The following is a 22624-nucleotide window of genomic DNA, read 5'->3' as shown; positions in this document are numbered from 1 at the left end:
AGGTCTTGCAAATTATCAAAATCAATTCCTATATTTTGCAAGCATCTTTCAGTGTATTATCTTTAGAGTCTCTACTCAAACAGTAAAATCATTTATTCTATATAGGCACATATTTCAGAGTCAGATGAATATCCATAATATCCAACACTAAACCTCTTACTGGAATGGGAATGAGAATTGCTTTTGAGCAGTACAGGTCTTGGCAAATTATCCTAATTTTAGAGTTGTTACTTTGCAGTCAATTCAGTTCTTTTTTTCTATATCCAAGCCCAATTTAATGAAAGTCTTTTTTTTCTTTTTTAAGTCTTAAAAATGCAGAAAAGTACAGAGAATAATATAACAAACACTCATGTATCCACCCCCAAAATTCACAAATGTTCACATTTTGTCATTTTGCTTCTTATGTATTCATTTGGATTTGTAAAAGAAATACATTTTTCATAAAGATGAGGTCTCCCTTTTCTTCCCCATCCTATTCCTCTACCTTCTTTACCAGATACAATTGCTATCCATAGTCCATTTATAGTATTGCATAATGTCTCTTACTAAATTTACACAAGTAGTATAACTTTATGTATTCTTTTGTATATTGCTTCTTTCATCCAACCTTATATTTTTGAGATCTATAGATATCAACAAATATAAAAATGTCATTGCTTTTCACTGTTGTATAGTTATTCCATCATATAAATATGTCATAATTTTTCTACTTTCCTATGGATGAACTTTCAGGTTTTTCTAAAATAAATACTGAAAAAAACCCATGCAACTTTTATCTTTAAATATTTGTTGTTTTCTCATATTTAATTTAAACATTAACTTAATTCCAGTGAAAACATTTTAGAAATCAACCAAGCAAAGAAGAAGCAAAATTTCTTTGATCTCACTATTTATAAAGTTAATTAATGTTAAAACTCTATCAATATTTTTGGTCTGGGGGCATTCTAAAGATACCCACACATATTTACAAAATGTCATCCCAGTAAAAATGCTACATTTTTCAGGTAAGAAATATTTCATGATTATTTTTGTGTCATTGACAAGGGAAGAAATCAGTATATCCGTGTGGGGTAATACACGTCACTTCAAAGTATACAATATGATAAAATATGAAGAGTTTGGTTTGGTGAAATGCTAAGCAAGCAATGCTGAATAATGTTGTTATGATGGTTCCAGAACTTTGGGGATGTGGCTAATAATTTAGCTTACTCTACCTCCCGAATAACCCTATGAGATGGGCACATTATCATCCTCACTTTATGGATGAGGAAACAGAGAAAGAGATGTTCTGGACAGAATAGCACAGAATTTCCTCCCTTAAGCACTGTCCTAAAATGCCACACAGAGAAGTTAAGTGGCCTGTCGAACAGTTCATGAATATTTAGATTCTTTCACATGTACTTATTGTTCCAATTTTATCACAATGAATCAACTAGACATCCCTTAAGGAATGTTGCAAAAATAAAATATTATTTCCACGTGCAGAAACATTTGGAAACTGTGCAATGAAGTACAAGCACAACACAGCCCATGTAGATCAATGCTGTCCATGGCAAGCAGGAAAGAAGGTTCAAAGGCAGACCTGGGCTGCTCAAGTACATGGGTATGCTGTTTACTTAACATATATGTCTGTGAACATCCAGAAGAGATATGAGCATGTGGGAGCCCTTTCCTCGTTTTCCTCCCAGTGGCTTTTACCATATATGTGTTCAGTTGGAATTACTTGAAAAATAAGATGAGTGTTTGCTTGGTTTTATAAAAAATAATCTGCTCCCAAATTGTCATTCTTGAATATTTAGTCTTTCTTCTACAGAGAAGTGTGCAGGAAGAATTAGAGACCCTTGTGGGAGAGCGTATTTGGTTCTGAAAGGATTTCTGCTTTCCATTTCTTGTAGGAGATAACCAAATTTAGGAGACAGTTTGCTTGACTAAACAAGACACTGAAGGGATTTTCTTTTGGCAAACACAGAGCAGTGTTTCTAACCTTGGCACTGTTGACATTTTGGGCCAGAGAATCCTTTGTTGTGGGGCTGTCCCGTGCATGACACGATGCTTAGTGGCTTCCCTGGCCTCTACCCAGGGATGCCAGTGGTATCACACCCTCTCCTTCTCATACTTAAAAAAAATATTGCCCTCAGTTGAGAACTACTGAGGGTATACAGAGTCAGCTAAAACAGGGAGGACAGTAAAAGCTAGGGCTCATCATTAAAATTTAGGTAAAAACAAAAAGGATTCTGCTCTCATTAATTTTCTTTCCTCTCATTCTTCCAAACATCTTATCCATTGCCACATCTCATCATTTCTCTTTCCTCTCACTCTTCCAAACATCTTATCCATTGCCACATCTCATCAATTCTCATCTCTCCATGAGCAATTCTCAAATATGCATCTTTAGTCCAGACTCTTTCCCAAATCCCAATTCTGTCTGTCTTTCCTGCTACCTGCTGGATATTTTCTGTGGACAACTTTTATCACCTGTAGGCAATTAATACTGCCTTCATCCTGATGTTCTGATTCCATTAAATGCTACACTATTCTACCAGACATCTAGGATTGACACCTTGGTTACCTTTGACCCCCTCCCTCTCTGTTAGCCCCCAACATCTCTGCCTTACAATTCATGTTTCCCAGCCTTTACATACTCCCTGAAATCAGGCCCACACACCTCACTAAAGCCCCACTCTAATGTTCTCTGTACTCCAGTTTAACCCTAGTAAAAGGGCTCTGCAACAATGTCCGTCTCTTAAAGACATTCTTTTTTTTTCTGTTAATTTTATTTTATTTTTTTTTTAAATTATACTTTAAGTTCTAGGGTACATGTGCACAATGTGCAGGTTTGTTACATATGTATACATGTGCCATGTTGGTGTGCTGCACCCACTAACTGGTCATTTACATTAGGTATATCTCCTACTGCTTTCCCTCCCCCCTCCCTGCATCCCACGACAGGCCCCGGTGTGTGATGTTCCGCTTCCTGTGTCCAAGTGTTCTCATTGGTCATTTCTCACCTATGAGTGAGAACATGCGATGTTTGTTTTTTTGTCCTTGCGATAGTCTGCTGAGAATGATGGTTTCCAGCTTCATCCAGCTCCCCAGAAAGGACATGAACTCATCCTTTTTTATGGCTGCATAGTATTCCATGGTGTATATGTGCTACATTTTCTTAATCCAGTCTATCATTGATGGACATTTGGGTTGGTTCCAAGTCTTTGCTATTGTGAATAGTTCCGCAATAAACATATGTGTGCATGTGTCTTTATAGCAGCATGATTTATAATCCTTTGGGTATATACCCAGTAATGGGATGGCTGGGTGAAATGGTATTTCTAGTTGTAGATCCTTGAGGAATCGCCACACTGTCTTCCACAATGGTAGAACTAGTTTACAGTCTCACCAACCGTGTAAAAATGTTCCTATTTCTCCACGTCCTCTCCAGCACCTGTTGTTTCCTGACTTTTTAATGATCGCCATTCTAACTGGTGTGAGATGGTATCTCATGGTTTTGATTTGCATTTCTCTGAAGGCCAGTGATGATAAGCATTTTTTTCATGTGTCTGTTGGCTGCATAAATGTCTTCTTTTGAGAAATGTCTGTTCATATCTTTTGCCCACTTTTTGGTGGGGTTGTTTTTTTCTTGTAAATTTGTTTGAGTTCTTTGTAGATTCTGGATATTAGCCCTTTGTCAGATGAGTAGATTGCAAAAATTTTCTCCTATTCTGTAGGTTGCCTGTTCACTCTGATGGTAGTTTCCTTGCTGTGCAGAAGCTCTTTAGTTTAATTAGATCACATTTGTCAATTTTGGCTTTTGTTGCCATTGCTTTTGGTGTTTTAGACATGAGATCCTTGCCCATGGCTATGTCCTGAACGGTATTGCCGAGGTTTTCTTCTAGGGTTTTTATGGTTTTTAGGTCTAACATTTAAGTCTTTAATCCATCTTGAATTAATTTTTGTATAAGGTGTAAGGAAGGGATCCAGTTTCAGCTTTCTACATATGGCTAGCCAGTTTTCCCAGCACCATTTATTAAATAGGGAATCCTTTCCCCATTCCTTGTTTTTGTCAGGTTTGTCAAAGATCAGATGGTTGTACATGTGTGGTATTATTTCTGAGGACTCTGTTCTGTTCCATTGGTCTATATCTCTGTTTTGGTACCAGTACCATGCTGTTTTGGTTACTGTAGCCTTGTAGTATAGTTTGAAGTTAGGTAGTGTGATGCCTCCAGCTTTGTTCTTTTGGCTTAGGATTGTCTTGGCAATGCAGGCTCTTTTTTGGTTCCATATGAACTTTAAAGTAGTTTTTTCCAATTCTGTGAAGAAAGTCATTGGTAGCTTGATGGGGATGGCATTGAATCTGTAAATTACCTTGGGCAGTATGGCCATTTTCACGATATTGATTCTTCCTATCCATGAGCATGGAATGTTCTTCCATTTGTTTGTGTCCTCTTTCATTTTGTTGAGCAGTGGTTTGTAGTTCTCCTTGAAGAGGTCCTTCACATCCCTTGTATGTTGGATTCCTAGGTATTTTATTCTCTTTGAAGCAATTGTGAATGGGAATTCACTCATGATTTGGCTCTCTGTTTGTCTGTTATTGGTGTGGCTCTCTTTACCTATCAATACAGAAATCTAAGGCCCCTCAGCCCACATTTGGAATTACCCACAACTTGTTTGCTACAAGTCTTTAGTTCCACTTTCCCACTACTCTCTTAGAAAAACGTTCTTTTTTATGTAAACTTGAAAATTTACTTTGTCTCAAACATCTATTCATTCCACCTTTTGTATGCTTGCCACCTCCTCCCTGAATGTTATTCTGATCCTTGGTCCAGAAACATTCCTTCTCCTAGAACCTCTATGGCATCTACTGAATTGTCCAAATAATACATGTGGCAAATTAATGCTGTAGCATTTTGGGCACATGTCTTATGAGTGTAAAACATCTTCGAGAGTTATTCGCACTGTGCCTTGCACATAGAATATATTAAGTATATATTGAATAAATGAATGAAAGAATTGAGAGAGACAGAGAGAGAGACCTTTAATACCATGGTAAAGTCATTTTTAAGCAGGAGAGAGAGAGAAGAGAAGAGGAGAGAGAGAGACACTTTCAACACTGTGGTAAAGTCATTTGTAAGCAGAACCAAAAATGCTCCTTTATAAGGTGTGAACAAAAATGCCTTGGGCCAAAAATATTTCTCATCTGTCTAATTGCTGCATTAAATTCCACTTTAAAAATAAATTCATTTTCTGTCTTGAGGTTTTCCAGATTTCAAGAACATACAGAAATGAGCACTACCTAGTTGATGAAGAGCATCTCCATAAGCGGTCCTGCTGCAGAACAGGACACATATTGGGGCTCTTGGAGCAGGGTATATATGAGAGCCTCTCTGGAGAGCCACAGTACTGTGGGAGGAGAAACAGGCAAGCAAAGGTGTGTGGGCCACACCACAGTCAAACTGGTTTATCATGAACGTGTCATATATCTATGCAGATGTATTTAGGTCTATATAAATATAAATATATCTATATATGTATACATACACATTATGTTTAATGTGTGTGTATATATGTAGATATGTACATAAATGTATTTTATTTTGTAGGTTGTATTAAAACAAAGACCACCACAACTAACATCTTACTGAATGGGGAAAAGCTGAAGGTTTTCCTCTAAGAACTAGAATAGGAAGGCTGCCCACTCTCACCACTTTTATTCAACATAGTACTGGAAGTACTAGCCAGAGCAATTAGACCAAACAAAATAAAGAGGCATCCACATTATAAAGGAGAAAAAGTCATTTTGACAAATAGAGGTAGGTAGTACAAAGATTTTTTTTAAAGAGGAAAAGAAGAAGTCAGATTGTCTCTGTAGGTGACGTGACCTTATGTAAAGAAAAATTAAAGGCTCTACCAAAAAACTCTTAGTACTGATAAACGAATTCAGTAAAGTTGCAGGATACAGAATTAATATACAAAAATGAGTAGCATTTCTGTACATGAATGAACTAACAAAAAGAAATCAAGAAGGCAATCTCATTTACAATAGCTACAAAAAAGTAAAATACCTAGCAATAAATTTAACCAAGAAGGTGAAAGTCCTCTATAAGGAACCCTACAAAACACTAATGAAAGGAATTGAAGAGGATACAAACAAATGGAAAGATCCTATGGTCATGGATTAGAAGAATTAATATTGTTGAAATGACAATTCTACCCAATGCAATCTACAGATTCAATGCAATTCCTATCAAAATACCAATGACATTATTCACAGAAATAGAAAAAAACACTTACAATTTGAATAGAGCCACAAAGGACTCTGAGTAGCCAAAGCAATCCTGAGCAAAAAGAACAAAGATGGTGGTACCACACTACCAGTCCTCAATATATACTACAAACCTGCAGGAACTACAACAGCATAGTACTAACATAAAAACAGACACACAGAAGAATGGAACAGAATAAAGAACCCAACAATTAATTCACATATCTACAGCCAACTGATTTTTAATAAAGGTTCCTAGAACACTCATTTGAGAAAGGACAGTCTTGTCAATAAATGCTGCTGGGAAAACTGGATATCCGTATGCAGAAGAATAAAACTAGACTTCCACCTCTTACCCTATATAAAAATCCACTCAAAATGGATCAAAGACCTAAATGTAGGACCTGAAATGATAAAATTACTAGGAGAAAACATATGAGAAACAGTTCAGGACATTGGACTGGGAAAATATTTTATGATCAAGACCTCGAAAGCACAGGAAACAAAAGCAAAAATAAACAACTGGGATTATATAAAACTAAAAAGCTTCTGCACAGCAAAGGAAACATCAACAGAGCAAAAAGACAACTTATAGAATGGAAGAAAATATTTGTAAGCTACTCATTCAATAGGGGATTAATATCTAGAATATACAAGGAACTCAAACATATCAACAGCAAAAACCCAAATAATATGAGTAAAAAATGGTCAAATTATCTGAACAGACATTTATAAAAGGAAGATATACAAATGGCCAACAAATGTATTTAAAAATGCTTGACATCACTAATCATCAGGAAAATGCAAATCAAAACCACAATGTGGTATCTTCTTACCCCAGTTAGGATGGCTATTATAAAAAAGACAAAAAATAACAAATGGTGGTGAGGGTGTGGAGAAAAGGGAACTGTATATTATACCTCTTGTTGGGAACATAAACTAGTACAGCCACTCTAGAGAACAGTATGGAGGTTTCTCATAAAACCACAAATAGAATGACTATATAATCCAGCAATGCCACTACTGGGAACTTATCCAAAGGAAAGAAAGTCATTGTATCAAAAAGACTTCTGCACCCCCATGTTTATTGCCACACTATTCACAATAGCCAAGATACAGCATCAACTGAGGTGTACCACAACAGATGAATGGATCAAGAAAATGTGGCATACATACACAATGGAATACTATTCAGCCATAAAAAGAATGAATTCCTATCATTCATAGCAACATAGATGGAACTGGAGGACATTACGTTATGTGAAATAAGCCAGGAACATAAAGTTAAACACCACATGTTCTCACCCATGTGCAGAAGCTAAAAAAAGTTGATCTCTTGGAAGTATAAAGTAGAACAGAGGAAACTGGAGGCTTGGGAGGGTAGGGGGAAGGGAGGGATAGGGAGAGATTTGTCAAAGGATATAAAAATTATGGCTAAATAGGAGGAATCAGTTATAATGTTTTATACCACTGTGGAAGGACTACAGTTAACAATAATGTATTATATTGTTTCAAATAGCTAGAAGAAATATACTGAATGTTTCTAACACAAGGAAATGATAAATATTAGAGATGATAGATATGCAAATTACCCTGTTCTGATCATTATACATTATATGGATTGAAACATCACTATCTATCACATGAAAATGTATAATTATTATTTGTCAAACAAACATTTTTTTAAAACCCAAGAACAATTAAAAAAAAGAAGATTATAGCAGGAACCTATAGGAGACATTAAACATAAGCATGAATATATTTAAGCAGGTAGCCATACAAGGGAGCTGAAATAAAAGACATTTTTCAATTAGAAATAGTACATATTTCTTCTATTCATTATTTCTTATGATTTTCCTGTAGCTTTTGATGTGAAAGACTGATAGAAAGACACTGACTTTCACTATTTCTAATCCACAAAAAATGACTGTTGTTTCTAAATTTAACTCATTATAATTATCTCTTTTCTCTCCATGGCATTAACAAGGCCTATCATGGGATCTAATGACTAATCTTGCAGGAAGGGTAACTGGTGACTAAAGTATTCCTCATGTCATATATGTGTATATGTATCTTTTGATGGTTAGAGTCGAATGAATTGGTATCTTTACCTTGCAAGTGTGTAGTTTTGCTTTTATACCCTGAATTGCTTTGTGCAAATTACAGTCTCCAGAGCTGAAGCTCCTTGCTGTGGATGAAGGGAAATGGTGGAAAAAGGGCCCCAGAATCAGAATGGCTTTTCCACCAGAGAAGTGTGATTGCTTGCAGGCACAACGCTTAAGGTTGACCCCCATGGAGGCAACTGTGATTGAACAACTGGGTTGGCCTTCTAGATCCCAAATATCCTTCCTATATTTAATCTGATTAAAGTTTTCTCTCTTCATTTAAACATAAAACATTCCATGACACTGATTTACTTCAATATATAAATGACTGGTTTCATTCATTCATCATTCATTCATTTGACAAATACAGTGCCTCCCATGTGCTAGTGTGGGTAGACAAACAGGACTGACTAACAACTATTGCTAGGTGGCTAAAGAATGGGCTGAGAGACTTCCCTTCCCCAGGCAAGTGAGCCTGCTCCCAAGCTCAGCTTCTCCAAGGCCCTCCAAGTTCCACATGTTGCATAGTATAGGTCCCACCTAAAGCCAAACTGTTATTCTAAGTCATGCTCTCTTCCTCTTGCAAATAAGACTTCTCACTGTCACCAAGGAAAAGGAGAGAACCTTCCCTGTGGACCACCAGCTAACTGTTCCTGTTCCCAGTTCCAGTCTGCACTCAGTGACTCATTCTGGCATTTTCTTATGCCTTCTACCAGTGGCACTGTTCTTGTTGCTGGGGAGATATGTATAAAACAAACAAAAATACTTACTTTCAAGGATCTTACATTCTGGTGGGGAAGCCAGACAACAAGTACAGTAAGTAAATAAATGAAATACAGTGCAGCACAACCCAAAGTAGTAAGTGCTGTGGAAAAAATAGAAATCAGGGAAGGGGAACAGAAAGTGTTGGGGATGGTGAGTGGATGTTGCTCTCTTTGCAAAGTAGATTTTTAGGGGTGAAGGGGGAAAAGACAGCCCAGTCTCCCAGCCTAAATGTTCGTTTTTTTGTTGTTGTTGTTGTTTTGTTTTGTTTTTTTCTCCCTAGCCTTCTTCTAGAGCAAAAGTCATCTGGCAGTTTCAGGACAGATGACATCATTACCCAGAGGTCCTCAAAGACAGTGAAGCTTGAAGAGATTTCTTCATGTGTCAAAATGGGAAGATTACTGTCTCTCCTGCCCACTTCTCTGGGTTGTTGTAAAGATCAAAGGAGAGAAGGGCTATAAAGGTGCTTTGAAAACAATGAAAGCTACACACTGAAAAGGCATTATTATCACAGAATTGTGTTAGAAATAAGTGGGATGACTATTTACGTATCCAAATTTTATAATCTATAGTATAAAGATGAGAGAGAGAGACACACACACACACACACACAGAGACAGAGAAAGAAAGAGAGAGAGACTAAATGTAGGTTTTGGCTTGGAATCATATATATCAAGCTGTTAGTTGGCTATATCCAGGTGATATGACACCTTTCTTCCCTATCAAATCTCCATTGCTGGCCAGCACAGCTTCACTCTTCTGAGGTTATTTTTCTCCTTATCATTAGGCTGCAAAGTACATGACCAATCCTAGGATGAAAATATTGATTTTACCATAATAAGTACATGTGCAAATTGAAAGGCAGGTTAATTTTGCAGGCTCTTAAATTACTCAGGCAATAGAAAATATCAATAAATGCCAAGTGAAAAACAGAAAAACTGATGAGAAAACTGATGAGCATCAGTTCTTAAAAGAACACATAATGAATGTTAAAATTATCAGATATTTTGATACAAGAAATAAAACCAACGATTTTCTAATTTAGGTATCATTTTTCCTCTCTTTTTTTAAAATAATTTTTTTCTTCATTATTTCACAGACCCCACCACCGCTGGAATTTACTACAGATCAAGAACTGGTAAAACTGAAGACCATTTATATTGCTCAATTGCTTCTAAAATAATAGGTATGGCACTTGTGATTAATTTATGATTCATAATCTTCAAATATTAGTAATTATTTAAAAAGGGAAACTAATTTTCTTAAACAATATGGAAGACAAACCTCTAATGTTTAATTTTATTCTTACTGGAATCTAGTAGTCCTGGATGAAAACAAGAAATATAGGAGAAAACATATAAAATGGTACTTATTAATATTAATAGAAACAGTTTGGAAACATTAAAATGAATCTAACAAAAACACATTAAAATATTTTACATATGTGTTTACTATGAAAGAAGGGTAATCTTACACAAATGTAGTGGATGAAGTAGATCAGACTAATAGATTTGAGGTTGGCTAGACTTCACCATATGAAATGTATTTGAATGTGTTGTCTGCACAATTCACACTATCCATATATATTTGGTTTACAAGCATAATTCGGAATTTTTTTTCACTCCAATGTTCTTTATTTCTGAGCTCCTGAGGTAGCATTTAGCTTGGACCATAAGTGCAACTTCGGGGGTGTCACAGAAGTAGGATGTGCAGGGAAGTGTGAAGCATCTGAAAGACTCAGAAAGGCCTGGGTCAGGAACCCGAGTGAGCCCCAGAGCCTGCCAACAACTTGCAGGTCTCCCTTCTGCAGCTGCTATTGGCTTATAGGCTTTTATAGGGAAAAGTGTTTATGTTCAAATACTAACGCTGAAAAAACACATAGGCATAGTAAGAAATGGTGTCACTGGGTAGAATTTTTTTCAGAAATGTGACATATTCTTACATGTGAAAATTCTAAGAGTTTCCTACAAATACTTGTATTTTTGTATTGGATGGAGTCTGGCAGTTTTAGGTCTCATCCATTTTTAATGATACATATAATCAGTGTAAAGAAGTCAGCAAACCACAATTTGGTATCTAGCCACCAAGATGTATTAAGACTATGTGGTAAATATTCTTTCATGAAAATTCCAAGTAACTGCTTGTTGTGATCTTAAAAAACAACTTTCTTGTCTTAATAAAAATATTAACATGTTTATTTTCAATGCAATATGTGAAAAGTATTACACGTAGTTTCAAATTTACAATTAAGTGGGGGTTGGGGAGGTCTCCCAAATAGAATCACATTCTAATCCCTGGAACCTATAAATATGTTGCCTTATATGGCAAAGGGACTTTGGAGAAGTGATTAAGACCCTTGGGGAGGGTTGATTATCCTATATGATCAAGGTGGGCCCAATGTGATCACAATGATCCTCGTAAAAAGGAAGCAGGAGGGTCCAAGTCAGAGGAGACAATGGAAGCAGGGATCTAAGTGACATGGGGTCATGAGTCAAGGAATACAGGTGGTTTGTGGAATGTGGAAAAAGAGGAAATGCATTCTCTCCTATAGCTTCCAGGAGGAATACAGCTCTGCATTCACCTTGATTTTATTCCCTATGACCTATTTTGGATTTCTGGCCTCCAGAACTATAAGATAATACATTTGTGTTGTTTTAAGCCACTAAGTTTGTAGTAATTTGTTTTAGCAGTAGTAGGAAAACTAAAAGAGCTTATAGATTGATTTGCTGTCCTATTCTCCATAAATGCTAGACCCTCAATAATAATGGACAGAAGATAAAACTTATTATTTAAGAAAAAAACAAAGAGACAGAAGCACCCAAAAGTTCCCGAAAGCACTAGGAAAGCATGCTTTATGGAAGCATCTTGTGGATGTCTCTATCTTTATACTTTGTGGTTTTTAGTCCCTGCTAACCATGTGCAGACCAATCTTATGAACAAAGCTCAGCAGATAACACATAAGGAATAGGGAGTACAAAAAAGTTCCAAAAAAACATGCACATCATTCTATGATTTTATCAGTTAGTAAATCCCTAAGTGTCTATTTTAAACATCTCTTATGTCTAGAGGTAAGTTTGCAGAACTGCAGTCGCCCAAATGACCACATACAGTGGCAGATGCTGACCAAGAAATGATAACATTTCCTCTGAGGAAAATTTAAATTGATGTTGCAGGGTGGGGTGGCCTGGGAGTTGCATTCTTAGGCAGTCATTTCAGGGATTTGATAGTCTCTGCAGCTGGTCACAGAAGGTACTAGAGATCCAGGCCCCTCCTGTTATATGCCAGAGATATTTTCAAAGATCCCTTGAGGGAAAAGAAAGGGCATTATGGAGCATGCTATGAGCCCTAGGTTATTAGGGAAAAGACTGACCAGGAAACTGACAGCCTTTCTGAGAGTCACAGAGAGGATGCACGAAGGATAAGATAGGGCCGTTCAGGGGCTGTGATCAGAGGCTAATGCAGAGATCGAACTCCTTGATCCTGGTTCATTAGGCAATAAGAAGCATGGCCAGGGACCTGGAGAGAAAAACTAGAAATCACTACATAGAGTTCTCTGAGGGCAGCTTTGGCAATGACACTAAGACACTGCAGTGAGAGGGTACTACAGACCCAGGCCCCAAGAAATGCAACAGAAGAGGAGTAAAATAGTCCAGGCAAGAAATAATTGTTTTTCAATAAAAGCAGAAGCAAAAGAGATAGAGGTATGATTTGAGAGACTTGTAATGTCAGAAATTACCAGAAGTAGAGAAAACTCTAATACATTAAAAAAAAAAACAAAACCAAACAAAAAATCTTGAAACTTCATGAGCAGCTGGCTAATCTGTCACAAATACTATTCAGAAGGAGAGAGAAACGGCTGTAGCATTTCATTTGTGATGGAATATTTAGCCCCAAATGTCTTCCATAGTAACAAGAACTAATATGTGAAATTCAATGAAAGACTATTTGGGAGGTAGACAAGTAAATTTGTTTCTTATTTATATGCATGCTGCAGCTGAGCTCAAGGAAAAAGGTAATATCTATAAGTGTCCACATGTTAGAGAGAAGAGAATTAGAACTCAGGATGGATCTCTTGTATTCCTTCTTTAGAATGACTCCTTAGGGGACAGTTGGAGTGTATGAAATAGGAATTTCATAGAAAGCTTCTTTTGTGGAGAGATTTCAGGTTGCTTAGAACATTAATGTTGGGTGACTAGGCCAAATATTCTACCACCATTTATAAAATACAGTTGCAACCCCTGACACACCTCTACCATCTGTCCCTTGTGGTTTACTGCTTTTATGTCTCTTTGTCTCAACATCCCCACATTGTCTTCCTCATTCCACCAGCTCTTGAAGCTACATAGTCGTTGGTGAGACCTATGTCTTTTATTTCTCTGCCCTTGCATCCATGTCACAACATGCTTTGCCATTATCCATATATCAGCTTCTTTTCTCCAGAAGCCCAGCCAAACTCCAGTGACACAGTTTGTACATGTACTCACAAAATGTTCCAGCAAGTACACGATGAACATACAAAACACTATTTGGAAAATGACAACTCTTATAATACTTCTGTAAAATCCTAAATTCATAAACACCGTATGTGTTGTTATGGCTTTGAGGCTTTACTGGTGATCAGAGGCAGGTCCTCACTACAGAGGGAAATGATACATTTCATTAATATCTTGAGGGTTGCCTGTCTTTTTCTGTGAGTCTGTCTTTGATGTGATGCCAAGGAGAGAAAAAAAAATGCTGCCACATTCTCTGAGCCTTTCACCCAGGCTTCCTCTGTCTTCCTGCTTTTACATATTTTATTCTCCTCACTATAGGAAAACAAGATACTCAAATACACTGCTTATTAAAGAACACACCTACTTTTTGGAATTCGTAGATAAACTTACAACCTATTAAATCAACTTACAAAAAAAAAAAGAAAGAAAGAAAGAAAGAAAAAGAAGGACCCAGGTAAAGGGTGACTAGATTTGTTAGTGTCCTCAATATTTCACCCTGCCTGCTTACCCTCATATTAAGGTAAGTGTTTAGGAGCACACACTTCGTCATCCTGACTCTCTGAGCTTGAATCCCAGTTCATAGTCTCACCAGTTGGATGACTCATCCAAGTGATTTAACCTCTTTGTCCCTCAGTTTCCCCAAATTTACAGCTGATGGTGATAGTATTTTGGACTTCAAATTGGAACCGTGAGGTCCTCTACTTGTTCAACCTGCATGTACACACACTATGACAAGAGAAGCTGACATATGTCTACAGAGAAAAATATAAACTGAGACACAATTCTTACTGCAGAGTGGAAGCATCTGTCCTTAATGGGCCTACACTGGTACAATGGATTCTAATGACCCAGATGTGAAGAGGGAGAAAAATGGAGGAGTAGTGTAATACCCAGATGGAAGGGACTTTAAAAGGGGATCTGTAAAGCAAAAGGCAGAGGAAGGAATGGGAGCAGAGAAGACCAGAGAGGAAGCTCAGAAAGTGTCAGGAGCAGAAACCAAATGTAGGGTTCTATTTCCAAGTCAACAGGCTGCCAAGGAAGTGGCAATAGGTGCTGTTGCAATAGGCAGACAAACAGGAAGCTTAGGTTACCTTCGGAGAAGCTCAAGAGGCACTGGGACAAAGCTGAGATGGCAAAACATGATAGGTGAGAAATTACTCCAGTGAGACATACCAAGAGGCATGATGGCTCATGCTAGCCTGTCGGCCAGAGCCCCTGGGACACTGGACTGGAAGCCAGGAGATAGGAGAAAGGAGTTTTTCCTGGAGCAAGGGCATGTATCTATAGGACCCCAACAGTTTTACCAACCATTCACATTAGATATTCCTGACTTGGATTGCTTATGGAATATCAGATAATTCTTACTTTTGAATACTCTTGGAAGAAACACTAAATAGTACTGATTTTAATAGTGATTTGTACAAAAAGGGCTTTAAATTATGAAATAATATGAATCAAGTTATGTAATATGATTCCATTTTAAATTCCTGGTATTTTCATTCATCGATATGTTGATTTTTTAGTAGCTTTATTGCTGGGCGACTATAGTTAATAATAACTTAATTCTTTATTTTATAATAACTTAAAGAATGTAGTTGGATTTCTTGTAACTCAAAGGATAAATGCTTGAGGGGATGGATACCCCATTCTCCATGATGTGCTTATCTCACATTGCATTCCTGTATCAAAACATCTCACATACACCATAAATTTATACACCTACGATGTACCCACACAAATTTTAAAAAATAATTAAAAAATTAAAATAAATAAAAATAAAATTGTCGAACTGTTAAGAAAACCAAAAAACAAACATTAATTCCCTACATCTAGTGCACATCTTACTAACTTTTAAGATTTTCAAATCATGAAATAACAAGATCAATAGTAGTAAGAATTTTCTACCTCATAATGAATGCACGCAGTCATTAACTCTTTTTTCAGAGCATGTAACATGTCTAACAAAGCATATGTATGTATCTGACTGAAGCATTACTGTGAAATAGAAAACAATGCCAATTTTATCTTGTTATTAAAAACACTAATTCTTTGTTAAAGAATTAATCAAAGATTATTTAAACAAATACTAAAAATTATTTAAAATATGAAAATGTTTTTAAAACTTAAAAATTTAAATTAAATATTTATTATTTTAAAATAATACATACTTTATAATTATTAAAGAATCATTTAGTAATTCTGTTATTAAAAGTTCCAAAATATCTCAAAAATAATTGTTAACACAAGGGTTAATAAAATAACTCATATGCTGTAATATTTATACTTCTGTAAAAGATAAATCAAATAAAACATTTCCAATTTAATTTATATTATATTTTAGTTAAATATTAAGGGCAATGTTTATGTAAATTTCAAATTACCTGATCTTAGCTTTTATAAAACCAATAATTAAGATTGTCACATAGGTACTACAAATACAACTGAAATGTATAGTACTCAGAAAAATACCCTTCCTTGCTGTTTTCTTCTTGCAGTATGCTTATTTTCTGTGAAAAATCGTTTTTAAAAATTCTAACAATTTCTTAACAATACACACAACTGTATTAATACAGACTCAGAAAATTTATTAAATCAGAGACGTATGGTTATAATCAAGAGAGAAAACAAGTTAACCTGTTAAAACCATGATGACATTAACATGATTTCTCAATGAAATTTCCTTTTTATTAATCAGCCTTTCTTCACATTTAATACAAGTTTAAATAAGTATGTGTGAATGCTTATTCACAACTTTTTCAAATTCTTATGATGTAAAAGGGCTAATTTTATTACTTTTAAGTTAAGGTTCATTCAAACTGAGCTTCGATTTTTTAAAAAATTAACTGATCAATATAAAATCTTTCATAGTGTTACATATCCTACTGATTTATGGAAGGGATTTTGCTTGATTTCTCTTTAAGCATTCATTTAATGGGGCTCTTGGACACCTTGGTCCTCAGTTTCTTTTTTTCTTTTTTTTGTGTGGGCCTCAGTTTCTTTTTTTCTTTTTTTGAGTCAGAGTCTTGCTCTCTCCCCCAGGCTGGAGTGCAATGGTGCAATCACGGCTCACTGCAACCTCTGCTTCCTGGGCTCAAGCGATCCTCCCACCTCAGCCTCCTGAGTAGCTGGGATTACAGGCACGCGCCACCACGCCCACCTAATTTTGGTACTTTTAGTAAAGACAGGGTTTCACCATAATGGTCAGGCTAGTTTCACAGTCTTGGCCTCAAGTGATCCACCCACCTCCGCCTCCCAAAGTGCTGGGATTACAGGCATGAGCAACTGAGCTCGGCCCTCAGTTTCTACAATTATAAAACAAGGCTATCAGGAAACCTTCCATGTCTTGCCCAGCTTTAATTGTGGTTCCATGATTGCACTGAGCGGTACTTTCTCAAGCTCATGTTCAATTTTAATACATTTTTCTGAAGTAGTATTCCTGCTTTTAAAATGCATTTTTGCTGCCTTTGTACTAGTGCTGTAGCATCATGTTTGTTTTACATTTTTAGAATCTAATTGTGAGTAATGCACATTAAAATATTTGGTTTAAGGCATTCAAAACGAACAAATCATGCTCAGTTTTCTCATATGAATTGAATCATTGTTGAACTAGGATAAATTTAGCCTTATCTCTACCATTTTTTAATTCAATATATAGTAGCAAATGTGAAGGTATGTTTATGCCATTTCTATTAGTGTTGATAATAATATTAACAACAATAACTACATTAATTTGTAGCATTTTAATGTGATTTTACTTTCCAGATGAACTCTTCCATATATCCCTTCTTGGTTGTAGAAGTAGGCAAATGTTCATTTTGTCTTCCTCAATATTTTACTCTTAGACAATTCTTACTCACATTGACAATAAATGTAACCTAGCAGTCCCTGGACAACACCCCAAACATCTTTCTGTATTTCTCAGGTCAGTGAAATAGTTGTACCTGACTCCTGTCTTTCATATGCAAGGCAGGTTTTAGGAGGACTGTTTCTCCCTACTCTTTGCTGAATGTACTACTGAGAGTCTAGTTTCCTTTTCCACCTTGAGGAGTGCTCTTGTGAAAAGATTACTCAGTCTACTTCTCTGATATTACTAAGACAATGGGAATGGAAAGACAATGAATAAAGAGATAAGGTAATTAATTCATCCTTGGGAAGACAGGCCACATCCATGGGTGACCACATGACTGGATTACAAAATGGCTCATACACTGTTGGAATTCTCGTGGCCATCTCTGAGCTGTTTGGCAGACCATGTTAATTGTTACGTTAATCTAGATATATGATGTGGATTTCATAAAATTGGAACATGTCAATTACATCCTTGATCCCATATTTTCCCACTTGTTTTGTGGTCTTGACCACCCACTGTTATTTTTCAATTTTACTCCTTTATGGGGCACTGGAAACTCTCTTTCAGTTTATAGCCTGTTGTAGTCTCCCCGTTCTTACAAAGTTACTTTAATTTTACTATTCTGTTAAGTTGTCAAGTGAAGTTTGTGACTTTTAAGCAAATAATAAAATTAAGATAATTCTAGGATGTCTTTGCTTTTGCTATCAACCATCTTGAGAAAATCTTCTATGCTCATTGCTTCTACTTGCTCACCACCTGTTCATGCCTTAATCTTTCACAGCATGCCTTTGACCCTTACTACTCTTCTACTTTCCTGAAAGGTCACCAGTTTTCTCTTAGTCATCAAATTCAGCATCTCTTCTCAGGTTCCATATTTATTTGCGACAATAAAATTCTTGTCTGGACTTTCCTTTCTGACACCTTCTCCCCCTATGACTTCTGCAGCTTTCCAAAGTGTTCACCTCATTTCTTGCCATTCACTGTTTGTGTGCTCTTGCTCTGCAAGTGGGGGTGTTCCTTAAGGAAATGGCCTTAAGCCTCTGTTCTCAGGCATTTTCTCCTTTGGTAATTCCAAGGCTTCAATTATTTTCTGTACATGAGTGATCTCTCCACTGAAAATCTCTCATGAGTTTTGGTGTTGAATGTCCTGCCAGCACCAACAACTTAATGTGCCCCAAGTTAAACTTGTCATCTTTCCATCAAGCCAGATCTTCTTTTGGGGCTGTCTGGCTCTGCTAGTGGCACCATCGTCTGTCACTTAGAGGTGCAAAATGAGTCATATCAATTTTATCTCATAAATAAATCCCTCTTGCACCAGTCTCATTTCTAAACTCACTGCCCAATAGTTAAGCTGTTGATCCATTTTAATGATGTGACTTCCTGACGCTTAAATCTGATCATGCTACTACTCTGATACAAGGTTTTCCTCGGATCCTCATTGCCTGCAGAATCACGTTCAAATATCTAAGCTTAGCTTTGAAAATCCTGATTGGTTTGGAACCAATCTACTCTTCAACTTCATTTCTCTCCACTTCCCTTTCGTCAAACTAAACTGCTCACAATGTTTCCTGAATCTTCTCACCTTGCTGCCTTTGCTCATGTCTTCTCCACCCACAAAGCCACATATTCTGCACATCTTGGAAGACCCAGTCAAGTGCTTGGTCTTCCACATCTTTCCTTCATCTCTCCTTGTTTATACCACATAGAACTTTACACCTGTCTTACGATACTTATAAAAATCTGATTTTAACCTTTTATTACATTTTCTCATTTGCTGTGTTCTAAGGATAAAAAGTGAGTGATTTGCAGTTTCTATGTGCCAGGCGTGTGTTAGGTTCTGAGGTTATAAAGTCCCCATCTACATGTTATGTATCACCCACCTGACTCTATAGGCTCCTTGAGAGTAAAAGCTGATTCTGCTTTGCATCTTCTAAAACCCCAAGCACTAGAACTCCATACATTCATATAGGACTTCAAAAAAAATTATCCCAAACTGAATCCCATATTTCCTGACCATGGTCCACTTCTCCACTCCCTTACCATGCCTCCCCTTGCCTGATATTTGCTCATTGTTTTCTGAATTCAGCTGATAAGATTCTATGCACAAATTCATATAAAATTAAGAATATTACACCAAACCGTTTCCTACTTAAAACTCCAAATAAGCATTATCTTCTGACAAATTGTCTCCTACTTAAAACTCTAAGTGAGGGTATTCTGCTTTAAAGGAAATGCATGCAAAAATAACCAAGAAAAGAATTAATTCTTCTTATGTCACTGTGGCCTGGATTGGTAGTGTCCTCATCAGCTTTGACAATTAACAAGATGATAAAGGGAAAGACTGAGACTATGTCTCTAGGCTTAGGTGCTTGACATGAGTAAACCACTGGATTTGAATTAAAAAATTAATTTACTGCCAAGGATTTGACACAGAAACAAAGAGCATAGCAGATACTAGTGGTAGAAGAAAGCCATACAGAATTTAAAGAGTTTAGTGGTGTGCAGTTAGAGTTGCAAAAGACATATGATGCAAAAATGCTTAACTTCCTGTGTCGGGCGTTGCTCTTTACAGGAGTGAGCTAGAGTATTTTATATTTTCTAAGTAATCTTCACAGGAATCTATGAGGTTGGTAATGATTTTATAACCCTCATTTTACAGATGAAGAAACAGGTGCTTGTTGAGCTTGAGTAATCTCCCTAAGGTTACACAATTAGTAAGTACCAGAGTGACGACTTGAAGCCAGGCAGCCTGGCTGCAGGTTGGATAGTGAGCCATTACATTGCACTGCGGTGGAGGAGCACCACCGAGCATGGCTAATTCATCCTATTCTCAGAGGCAGGCACTCATTTTCCAGGGTGGACAGGACCACCGCCTTGTCTTCTGCTTCCCACCCTTCCCTTTCCTTCTGTTCCTAGATTCAAAATGTTGTGCATCAGTGGCCTTGGGCCTGGCTCTGCACTGGGCCACGCTCTTGCTCTCATAGAAGTCCTGCTTGCCCTCTTTCCTCCTCTGATCCTGCCTGGCCCCATAGGCTCTGGGTGACAGTGACATGAACCAAATCTTTATACAGTCAGCAAGCCCAGAATAACCAACTCATAGTCCAGCCACTGCTCCTAAATGCCTGATCCAAGGAGTACAACAGGGTACAGTTGACTCTCCATATCCACAGAGTCAACCAACAAGAGGACAAGAATATTTGAAAAAATAATAACATTGCAACAAAAAAGTAATACAAATAAAAAATATAGTAAAACAACTATTTACATAGCAATTACATTATATTAGATATTATAAGTAATCTACAGATGATTTAAAGTATATGAGAGAATGTGCTTTGGCCATATACAATACTACACTATTTTATATCGGGGACTTAAGCACCTGCAGATTTTGGTATCCACAGGGGTCCTGAAACCAGTCCCTGGGGTCCTGGAATCAATACCTCTTGGACACCTAGGGACAACCATTTTAAAGCTTTCACTTTAAAAGGTGGTACATGAGGTGGGTGTGAGAGACAGTAATTTCTATTAATTGTGGGACGTAAAGGAAGAGGCCCATTTGGATTAAAAACAGTTAAGTTTCTATTCCCAGATGTGTGTAACATGCTAACAAACTGATGGAAAGCTTTGTAAACTCAAATTCCTCTTACGAAGCAATAAACTATACCTGAGTAGGCTTCAAAAGTAAATGTTTCCATTTAACAAAGAATACAGACTTTATGGAAAAAAATAAAAAATAAATGTTTCCCCAAGTGGCCTAACATATTCTTAGGGTACGACTTTCACTCTGGGAGAATTCTGGAAATAAGCCCCTGAAAAAAAGATATTTTAAAAGTTTTGTTTGGTTTAAATATATATTTCTCACTGTTCACTTTAGTCATAGGTAAATGATAAAAACAGATACAATGAACACAAAATCCAATAGATTAAACATCATAGTTCCTTATGAGTGAATAAACAGCATTTCTAGGTGGGGCATAACAAAGAAAAATTAAAACTAATGCATGTTCACCAGGAAAGCAATCTCACTTGGAATGTTTTCAAGGCAGTGTATACTATATTGTAATAGTATCTTATAAATTAATTATCAATAGATTATAAATCAATCAGGGAAATATGCATTTTTAATCCACGTAAATTAGAAAAATAGTGTTTCCATTTTAAAATGCCCCTCACTTGACCCAGTAATTGTTATGACAGTAGGTAGTAGGGTAAATCCTGACTTGCTGCTTATTTTGTAATTTGCTGTCACTTGTTCTTAAAGCCTTTGCAATGTTTCTTTACAGTGAGAAATTTAGCTTGGGTGCACTTAATGTGCCACTTACTATGGCTTCTAAGTGGAGCTAGCCTTTGGAGCCAGTCTAATCAACCTAGCTCCATTCTACACAAAGTTAATAAGCCTCTCTGACTCCATTTCTGGCCAGGAGTGACCTTCCTCATACAAAAGTGGCACTTAGCTCTTTCTCACTGATTTTTATCATGGCAATTCCGAGGTCCCCTGTGTACACAATTTTAGCAGTAAGTCCCATGTCAGTACACAGAGGTTTTGCCATTAAATCCATCCTAAAATTAAATGCTTTTTAGCAGAGTATAAATGATATTCCCTATGGGCTCCCTGTACAATATGATTTCATTCAATAAACATGATTGGAGCACCTACTACAGGTAGAGTGCTGGCCCACGCATTGTAGTGTCAGAGGCATTCAAACCAGAGTGGTTCCCTCTTGAATAAGGACTGCATAAAATGAGGATAAGATTTGCTGGGCTGCATTCCAAGGAGGTCAGGCATTCTTAGTCACAGGATGAGACAGGAGGTCGGCAGGACTAGTATCATAAGATACAGGTCATAAAGACCCTGCGGATAAAACAGGATGTAATAAAGAAGCCAGCCAAAACCCACCAAAACAAAGACGGCAATGAAAGTGACCTTTGGTCATCTTCACTGCTCATTATAAGCTAATTGTAATGCATTGGCATGCTAAAAGACACTCCAGCCCCATGACCGTTTACAAATACCATGGCAACGTCAGGAAGTCACCCTATATGGTCTAAAAAGGGGAGGAAACCTCAGTCCTGGGAATTGCCCACCTCTTTCCCCCAGAAATCTCATGACTACTCCACCCCTTGTTTAGCAGATAATCAAGAAATAACCCTATAA

At 36.9% G+C, this 22624-nt stretch overlaps 1 protein-coding gene across 9 annotated transcripts in view, besides 1 other annotated feature; it reads right to left on the bottom strand.

Annotated features, from left to right (window-relative positions):
* KCNQ5 (potassium voltage-gated channel subfamily Q member 5) overlaps positions 1 to 22624 on the bottom strand; it is a 576790-nt gene that overhangs the window by 364332 nt on the left and 189834 nt on the right. The window lies entirely within an intron of this gene.
* Positions 9026 to 9075: an enhancer, noted in NCBI's record as "active region_24740". NCBI's record gives its function as "activates an Ori minimal core promoter by ATAC-STARR-seq in GM12878 lymphoblastoid cells {active_cell/tissue: GM12878}" and the evidence as "EXISTENCE:reporter gene assay evidence [ECO:0000049][PMID:35858748]".

This window comes from Homo sapiens, chromosome 6 (genome assembly GCF_000001405.40).
Source record: "Homo sapiens chromosome 6, GRCh38.p14 Primary Assembly".
In the NCBI taxonomy this organism is placed as follows: Eukaryota; Metazoa; Chordata; class Mammalia; order Primates; family Hominidae; genus Homo; species Homo sapiens.
This window is presented reverse-complemented; position numbering and strand designations above follow the sequence as displayed.